This window comes from Homo sapiens, chromosome 2 (genome assembly GCF_000001405.40).
Source record: "Homo sapiens chromosome 2, GRCh38.p14 Primary Assembly".
Taxonomy (NCBI): Eukaryota; Metazoa; Chordata; class Mammalia; order Primates; family Hominidae; genus Homo; species Homo sapiens.
In genome coordinates this window covers 185,212,529-185,222,851 of record NC_000002.12, presented here as the reverse complement: position 1 = coordinate 185,222,851, position 10,323 = coordinate 185,212,529, and the positions used below count along the sequence as shown (strand labels likewise).

The window sequence follows — 10,323 nt, the reverse complement described above, 5'->3', positions numbered from 1 at the left end:
TTTTCCATTTTTATGATTCTAGGATATCGGGACACTATAGGATCAGGGAATGGTTTATATAGTGGGTCACCAAAATACACAGATTTGTATATTCACTAAACAAGAGAAAATGAGTGTCAAAGAAGCTTATATACAAACAGAATAATAGTTTTAATGATTCATTAAGAGAATGCTGGAAATAATTCAGTAAATATTTTAGTACGTGGCACACTGATTTTGCCAACAGAGTAATGAAGTTGGAGTCTGGCTAGATTACAGTACATGCAGATATGGCTTCTGCAAATTTGGGAACTTTCCATGCACTTACCTCAGCACCTTCAGACAAAGTCTGCAATCATGTGGTTCTGTGACTAATTTATAGTAACAGGAGAACAGAACAAAAATTTCTAGTTTCACCAGATTGCAGATACTAACTGTTCTGATCTCAGTTTACATCATCACCAACAGGGATACTCTATCAGGTTCTGTTTGGAATTTAAGTCCATACAACATCTCTTGTTTAATGTTCCTGTCATTTTTTTTGTAACAGCCCAAATAAATAAAAGCCCCATTGATTTCTACTGTTATATGCATGTTATTCTGAGACTATTTTGCTCATCAAATTTTCCCACTAGCTTCCTTCAATATTTTTCCACTGGGTTCTCTGTAAACTGTATTCCTTGGTTCAATAGTCATGTAGAATATCAAACCAGTCAAAGGAAATCTGACAACAAATCAATCTTGAATTTCTTTATCAGAATAATGGAGGATGCTAAATCCTTCAGCTACCATTTTCTTGCAGACTGGGAGATAAAGTTGGTGTCTTTTCAGTTCTTCAGAAGCATACCCCCAAATTACTTCTCCTTAGACTATTTTTAAAAATATTCATTTCATTTTATCGCACTTCTCAAATGCTACATATGCCATCCTAGACATGGAGACTAATTCTGTATTGATTTTAATACACAGTTCAGTCTTAACTACTTCAACTGCTGCAGAACAGATAAATTGTTAAAATGATATTCTGTGGTACTATCTCCCTGGTAGGTAAAATATATGGGTTGCCAGTATTAATTAAAATACAGAATACCTAGTTAAACTTGAGGTTCAGATAAATAGCATTTTTTTTCAGCAGAAGTATCCTGTTGTCTCAGCTTTTAGTAATTATAAATTATAAGTGTTACAATAATAAAAATAATGACTAATAATCATTGTTGATAATGCAAGTGAAGAATTGCTTCTTCCAGGAAGCCAAGCTGGAAACCCCCAGGCTGAGGTACATACTTCTTTTTATTTTCCAATATTATTACTATTGTGATATATTTTTCCCATATATCTATTATAGTACATTTATTTGTGCTTGTTTCTTTTACCTCTTCTTTTTTTTTTTTTTTTTTGAGACGGAGTTTCGCTCTGTCGCCCAGGCTGGAGTGCAGTGGCGCGATCTCGGCTCACTGCAAGCTCCGCCTCCCGGGTTCACGCCATTCTCCTGCCTCAGCCTCCCAAGTAGCTGGGACTACAGGCGCGCGCCACCATGCCCGGCTAATTTTTGTATTTTTAGTAGAGACGGGGTTTCACCGTGTTAGCCAGGATGGTCTCGATCTCCTGACTTCGTGATCCGCCCGTCTCGGCCTCCCAAAGTGTCTTTTACCTCTTCTTAACTTTGAGCTCCTTGATGGGAAAAAAGTCTGTATCTATCTTATTTATTAATTTATTTTTGTAGTCCTAGCACATGGCTAAGCATCTGACAGATAGCAAATTGTTCATTCTTACTGAATAAAACATTAACTTCTTGGTGTCTCATATGTAGAGGAGTAATTCAATCTAAGAAAGTCACTTTTTAGAGCACAATGAGCCGTAACTCAAAGGTATATTAATTTTCAGTGTAAAAAATTTTTATGGTTTTATTCCCATTTATGTCAAAATATCTCTTCTATATTCAATCTTAAAATAAAGTATGCATTGTATAAACATTTCAAGTGCTCATATAATATATAGGAGTAAATCGATGTTACTTTAGCTCTCAGTAAGCAAAAATATATTAAAGGCAGAAGATTTATATATTACTTATTGGCCCACTGTTAGATGAGTTGACACTAGAAGATAAAATGTGGAATATGAATACCTGTGGCACATTATCATTAATCTTCTTGGAAATGAATAAATTTCTTTTCAGCTTATTTTCCCAGATATCTACTTTGCTGAATTCTTTCTAATAGCATTTTCAGGGTGAAACATTTTATTTTTATGTGATGTATATGCAAACATTAAATTTAACTCATGTATTAAGAAAAGCCTATTCTGTATTTGAAGCAGTGTAGAAGACCAATACCGCATTTCCCAAGATCTGTACCAAATAAAAATATCTCTTATTGTCTAAATACAATTGTATTGATTATGCTTGTAGTTATTTTGTACTATGCTTATAGAGATTGTAGTTATTATGAACAAGTTTCTAAAAATAAGACAATTTAAGCAAATGACAGTAAAGTAGTTGAATACATTTTATGTAATGTGTGGTATGGCCAGGTAGAACACGTATCAGTAACATGTAACAAGAAGAAAGTGGCTCCTCCTAATTTTATTTGTTTTTTCAGCTAGTAAATGGATGTTTCTTGAATTACTCACATCTCTAGTCTTTGTTCTCTCTGTTGAGATCTGACAGATGGGAGCTCAGCAGCAGCCATGCAGAATGTTCTGAATGTGACATGTGTACAGATCAGATGATATCATCTTCCCCAAGAGGCTCGCTTAGTCCTCTTCAGCAACTTTGACCTGCTTTAGCCAATGCATCCTCACAGGAAGAATTTTTGGAATTTTCTATGAATAAAAATAAGCCTAGATCACGAACTATAGTGATTTTTTTCATCTTCCTTTATCATGAACAAAAAACATTTTTTCCGCATAAACGTTAGTCATTTTTTTATTTAATACTGATGATCATTTTTTCTTTAAATATTATTACTTAAAAAATTGGTTGTACTAAGACATTTGGGCTATATGTTTGATGGCAGAAATGCAAGCCCAGTTGAATTTCAAATATATTCACAATAAGATAGAATTATTTTTAGGTACAGTTTTAAAATTTTGGTTATCAGTAGTATTGGTCTATTTTTAACCCATGAATGAAGTAATACTGACTTTAAAAAAATATTCAAATGGGCTGTTTTGATTGGAGTTTGAAAGGAAATTCCTAATGTTTCCTCTTCCAACTTCTTTCTAAAGTGAAAAAACAGAAAAAAACAAAATGAAACACAAACAAAAGACTCATAGTACTGTAAATTAAGACTGGCAGAAAGTATTATGCCAAAATTCACGGTAATTTTAAAGCAGTCATAACTGGACTTGAGAAAAGCTTAACCACGGTTAACAAATTATGGGCTCACATCATGAGAAAGATAGGCTGAATAAAGAGAGTTAATTTCGTTTTTCCTTTTCCAGTTGTGCACTTTGACTCAACAAATCAGAACATGCTACAGAGAGAAACAGCAACTGTCCATTCCACCTCTCAGATGGTACTTTGTGATGAGTGTCATCACCATTTGCCTTGTTTGCTACCCTCATAAATCCAGGTTAGTTAGGAATTGACAATACCAGAAACCCTCACAATCTATATAGGTACATGGTTCTTTGCATTTAAGGTGTGGAGTATAAAAAATCTTATTTAATCAGAAAAAAGACAAGAAAGTATAATCAGAGAAATAATAGTAAATTAACCAATGAAAAAATACTATTATTGCCCTCAGCTGGTAGATATAAATGTGAAAGACTAGATATTGTGCATAACTTTCCCGAGATCATGCTGTGATTTTTAGCAAGTATAAATTATAATGGAGGAATGTGAATTTATATTGTCTAATTTCAGGATGTAGAGTTTTAAAAACAATAGTAATTGACACAGTGAAATTAATAATAAGGGTTAATAGTGCTTATTCTGTGGCAAGCACTGTGCTAGATCATCTACAAGCATAATCTCATTAGGTCTTCTCAACAATTGTGTGAGATGTATTACGATACCCATTTTATCAATCAGAAAGAAGACTGTCAAGTATAAATGATTTGACAAATTTCACACCTCTGCAACTGATGTTGTGACGGAATTGATTCATGCTGTTGTGGAAACCTTATCTAGACTGCGCCAATCTGATTTTTTTTTTATTTGGAATTCTCAACTGTGTAACAGAGCCTCTTATATTTCTATATGTGGATGAACTGTAAGGTAGCTCTGAGTGACCATATCCTGCTATGCAGACTGAGAAATGAGGATGATGGTAGGAGCAAGAAAAATGAGCAAAAACAAGAAGCTGAAAGCAAAAAGAAAAAGAGATGAGAAAGTGAATCCAGATCTATTTCCAATCTCATTGTTGCACTTACCTGACACCAAGTTGCATTCTAGTTCCTGGTTTGTGCCTAATCCCTTTCTGATTATGCAATAAAGTTTATTTTTGCTAAATTTGGATGGAGTCGTTTTATATAATAGTTAAGCATGTTAATAAAAAATAAGTAATGTTGATTATTATTTTGTAGTGGAATTGTTAATTCATATTTTATTGTTTATTCCTTATTATATTAATGTTATATTGTTCTAATGAATTACATTAAACTAGATTAAATGAATATAATTTTAATGATTTTAGCTGATAGATGCACCTTCAGAAATATATTAAGAAGTATTTACCAAATTTGTCTGAACAATAGAGAAATACTGAGCTTGAATCAGAAATTTGCGATTCAAGTTTTGCAGAAATGTTCATTAAGGCATTTATAGTAATCTTTTTAGTTTATACTTACTTTTAAGAGACACTTTAGAAAAAGTTTCTGTGTATGCACAAACACTCATTCAACTTTAACTGAAAAAATTTACTCATATAGAAATGCTTCTTCTTTTCCTAAAGAAAACGTCAAAAAATTCATGACAAGCATTGCAAAAAGATGATACTCTAATATTAATGAGAGGTCAGAAAATACAATGGATAGTTTTATGTGTAGAAATATCTAAATGTAAACTGAATGATATCTAGTAAACATCATGAGTAAAGTTGTAGACTTATTGAAACCATCTTTTTATGTTTTCAACTTATATGTTAAAAGTCAAACCTAATTCTTTAAATAATATTTTTCAATTCCTGCCATAATGTGATAATTGGCCTAAGTATTTGTATTAAAAATACAATATCAAATTATAAGATATTATTTATCTAAATTAGGGTGCATATTTGAGAAAAAATGTAAGGCTCAGAACTAATATAATTTGTAATTTCAGGACAGACCAGTTATCTATTCCCTCTCTAAGCTTCTATTATTTAGCATCTCCAGAGTCATTACATCATTTTTATTTTACATTAAAAAAGCAAAATCTTAATGATCTGGTCTCAGTGGTTTTGGGAAGGAGTAACTGATACATTATTTTAGAATTCAAACTACATGTTATTATAACTTGCTTTTAATATCAATAAAATGAATAAAATGTCTTTATTTTCTTATTTTAACTATTCAAAAGTACTTATTTCAAGTAGGTCAATATTTCCTTCATGAATTTTCAAATTTCAAAAACATTTATATTTTTTAAATGCTATTTCATCTATCTGAATTTTGTTTTTTCATGGATGGTTACTGCAAGTTTAAAATCCATCGTACTTAAAATTTACTTTTTAAGAAATAATTTCTAGGATTATTTTACATGTTCTTCTCAATTAGCAATTGCAAAGTGAGACACTATTTTAGTCTACCTTTCACTTGCTTTTAGAAATATGATGCAGTCAGTTTGGCTCCTGACTTCCTCAACTACTGCTATTTATTTATACATCATGGCAAAATGATCAGTATTATTTCACGTGAGTCAATTAACAAATGCAGAAACACCTAATTTTTGCCTCAGAATAAAGCTATATTTCTTTTTTTTTTTTTTTTTTTTTTTTTTTGAGACGGAGTCTCGCTCTGTCGCTCAGGCTGGAGTGCAGTGGCGCCATCTCAGCTCACTGCAAGCTCCGCCTCCCGGGTTCACGCCATTCTCCTGCCTCAGCCTCCCGAGTACTCCCGAGTAGCTGGGACTACAGGCACCCGCCACCATGCCTGGCTAATTTTTTGCATTTTTAGTGGAGACGGGGTTTCACCGTGTTAGCCAGGATGGTCTCGATCTGCTGACCGCGTGATCCGCCTGTCTCGCGGCTTCCCAAAGTGCTGGGATTACAGGCATGAGCCACCGCGCCCGGCCAGAATAAAGCTATATTTCTACTGACTTACTGACAAAAATTGATTATATGCCTTTAGGTATAAAGTGTAAATGGCTCAAAAAAAAATCCCAAATACGTACATCTGACAGTGTATGTATTTGTCAGGGTTCTTCAAAAAAAAACAGAACCAATAGAGTTTATAGAAATGCCTGCCTGCCTGCCTGCCTGCCTTCTTTCTCTTTCTTTCTTTCTTTCTTTTCTCTCTCTTTCTTTTTCTTTTTCTTTCTTTCTTTCTTTCTTTCTTTCTTTCTTTCTTTCTTTCTTTCTTTCTTTCTTTCTTTCTTTTTCTTTCTTTCCTTTTCTTTTTCTTTTTCTTCCTTTCTTTCTTTCTTTCTTTCTTTACCTTTTCTTTCTTTCTCTCTCTCTCTCTCTAATTAGTACTAAAACTACTGAAGATATTGAATTCATTGTTAAACATCTTTCAACAACCTAAGCCCCAGGCCAGATGTTTTCATCGGAAAGATTTATCAAAATAAATAATACAAATTTTACAAAAATTAGTAATAAATAATACTAAATTTACAAAAATGTTTCTAGAAAATAAGAGGCACATTCCAATTTGTTTTATGAGGCATACATTACACTGATACCAAAACCAAAACTCTTTTTACATGAAAAGAAAAACTAGAGTAATATTCTTCATGGAAATGGAAAAAAGCATCAGCATCATTATTATCATCATTATCATAATCATTCCCTCTCTCTCTCTCAAATAAATGTCATGTCAGAGTAGAATTTATTTTAAGAGGTTTGTTCAGCATTCAAAAATCAATGAATGTAATGTAACCTAAAAATAATAATAAATAACCATAACACAAGATCCTCTTGAGAGATGCAGCATGCATTTGGCAAAGTCCAGGGTCTATGTTTGTTTTGAATGAAACTCTTCAAGTTTCATTATCAATTCGTTAGCTATTGTCCCAAACAGCCACTAGAGGCCTGAACGAAAGCACAGCACCAGGGGATCCACTGCATCTCTTTGGATGGCCTTGCCATCAGGGTTCAGACTGCAGGCACAGCTTCAAGGACACAACGAAATGTGAAAGCTTAAGAGTTTTTAGTACCCACAGACACTGAGGAGTACATGGCACACCTGGAGGTCAAGAAACTGAGGCAGGGAGGGAGAAGAGACTATTGCCAGAAGTGGTAAACATAAGGAAATAGGGTGTGGGTCACTTATGTGCATATGCCGGAATGGTTTATTAAAGGGAAGCAGTAGGAAAGAGGGGAGGCTATTCTGAGAGACTAGGCCAGAGAGACGCCTCTAAGTTCTATCTCTGGTCTGTGGCTTGAGACATTTGAGTGTGATGTAGAATGAGAAACTATGTCAAGGGTGATTGAACTCTGCCTCTGGCATGAGAAAGCTAAACTTTCATCAAAAATGGATGTCAAGGCAACGTAAAATTATAAGCATTCACTATAATATGTTATAAAAATTTCTCACAAATGAAAGATCACTTTCTCAACTTGATAAAGACCTCATGAAAACCTATGACTAACATCATACTAAATGCTCAAAGATTGAATGTGTTCCCTGTAAGATAATAAACAAGAAAAAAGTCTGATCTCACCATTCCTTTTCAAAGTTGTAATGAAGATTCTAGTTAACAAATCAGGAAAGAGAGTAAAATGAAATGAATATATGTTGGAAAGAAACAGTCTCTTTTCACAGATGTCCTCTCTATGTGGAAAGTCTCAAGGAATCCAAAAAAGAGCTGCTCAACAGAATAAGCATATTTAGTAAATTCACAGGATGAAAGGTCATTATTTAAAAGCCAATTGCATTTCTACATAGTTGAGAATTGAAATTTTGGAAAGAAACATATATAAATACCAATAAATTTGAAATATGTATGAATAAGTACACCAAAATATTTGTAAGATTTTTATACTGAAAATCATAAAACATTTGGTAAGAAAAACCAAATAAGACCTAAAATTATGGGTAGATATATGTGTTCTTGGGTTGGAAAAAAATGTCCAAATATCAATTAACCTCTAAATGCTGTATAGATGCAGGGTAATCTCAATCAAACTTCATCAGCAATTTTGTGTTCACAAGCTGATTCTATAATTTATATAGAAAACAAGGCATATAGAATAGCAAAGATAATTTTGAAAATGAAGAGCAAATTTTGCAGATCTACACTGCTTCATTGTAACAATAACTATAAAGCTACAATAATCAAGATAGTGTGGCATTGCCAAAAGTATAAACCCACAGATCAATGGAACAGAAAAGAAAATGCAGAAAAAGATCTATGTAAATGATTATTTCCTGCTTCGTAAGGTGGTCAAGGGTTAATAATGGATAGTCTTTTTAATGAATAAATAGGTAACAATAGAACAACCATGTACAAAAATGTGTTTCTCTACTCCTAATGGCATCACATACAAAAATTAGCTTAAAATGGATCATAGACATAAAGCTAGGGAATTTCTAGGAAAAAAGCATAGGGAAATCTTTTGGACATTGCATCCTTTGGTTATGCAGAGATTATGTAGGACACAAACAATTATCAGTATGTAGGACAAATTAAATAATACAAATAAATAAAATATTGATAAATTGTACTTCATTAAAATTAAAATTTTCTGCTCTTTCAAATCTACTTTGAAGAAAATGGAAAGACAAGACGCAAAGTGGGAAATGGAAATGAAAACCACAATAAGATATTCTTATACACCTATCAGATTATTTCAAATAAAAGACTTGATAATACAGAGCAACTGGAATGTTCATATATTCTTGCTGTGGTTGCAAATGACCCAGGCATTTTGGAAAAGAATAAGACAGTTTTATATAAAGATAACAGTCTTACCATATGGCCTAACACTTCTACTCGTAGTTATTTACCAAAGAGAAATGAAGATATAGCTAAATAACATATGTTTGTGAATATTTATAGCAGATTTATTCAAAATCATCAAAAGCTAGAAACAACCCAAATATTCATCGACAGGTGAATGGATGAGAAAATTGTCATGCATGCAAACAATGCCAATTAACTCAGAAACAGAATGAGCCATGAACCAAGGCTATATACGGAAGGGTTCCACTTAAATGACACTTTGAAACTATAATGACAGAAAATACAGGGACAGGAATCAGATCAACTCTTGCTAAGGGCTGGGGGTAATGCAAGGTAATTTCCTACAAAGGGGTATTAGGGAAGTTTGGGAAGAAAATAAGAAATATTTTATATCTTAATCATGGTGATGTTGACACTTACTGTGTAAATTTGTCAAAACTCATAGAACAGCACTCCTAAAAAATGAATTTTACTTTATATAAATTATACCTCAACAAACCAAAAACCAAGCAACAATAACAGCAAAGAATAGAGGAGAGCATGAAATAGTAAGAAACAAAAATTCAGTACACATGCCTCCTTTCTTTCTTATAATTGCTCATGGCCCCTACATTTGTCCCAAACTATAATTTTACTCTATCTCCACCTGATCTCTCAAGTTCAGAAGCTCTTCTCTCAAGCCTTATTCTTTGGAAATTATCTAGATAACCAGTGGGTTGACTAGGATTTATTTTTGTCAGATATTCTCATAAATATCAATTGCCAATTTTGCTGGACACAGATTTTCTGTTTTATCTACCAACCTGGTGCCTAGCTGATCGTATTTCCAACTATTATGCTGTTGTTGTCTGTCTGGATAACTTCTCATTTCCTGAAGCTCTGTCTCTACTACATTAGTAGTAGTGTCTGGAATCCATGTCCTTTTAAATTCCGATTCATTGGCCTGCCAAATGAGCACTAAGTGTTTTTACTTTCCAGATTATTCTAAATTCTATAGGCTAGTTATTGTTTGTCTTCTACAGCATGCTCTGTACCGGTGATTCTCATTCAGTAGTGAAATATAACAATCTATTGAATATTTTAATAATGCATATGAAAGGCTTTCCTCCAAACCTACAAAATCAGAATATGTGAGTGAGGTCTATGGAAAGTCTCTATTTTATATTCCATAAGTAATTCTAATGTTCTTTTTTGTTTACACCATTATGAGTGACTAGTTTTGCTCCAAACAACATAACTGATACCAATAGTTATTGCATGCTACTAAGCCTGCAATTTAGATTTTTGAGGTTTTAGCT

The 10,323-nt window shown here is 33.0% G+C and overlaps 1 long non-coding RNA gene across 3 annotated transcripts in view; it reads right to left on the bottom strand.

The window, feature by feature from the left end:
* Positions 1-2,459: 2,459 nt before the first annotated feature.
* The window catches only part of LOC105373781 (uncharacterized), a 53,658-nt gene continuing 45,794 nt past the window's right edge, over positions 2,460-10,323 (bottom strand). For all 3 annotated transcript variants that reach the window (XR_923661.1, XR_923663.1, XR_923662.1), the window contains 2 exons: positions 3,121-3,198; positions 2,460-2,799 (listed from right to left, as the gene is read on the bottom strand). This is a non-coding gene — a long non-coding RNA (uncharacterized LOC105373781). The remainder of the gene's footprint in view (positions 2,800-3,120; positions 3,199-10,323) is intronic.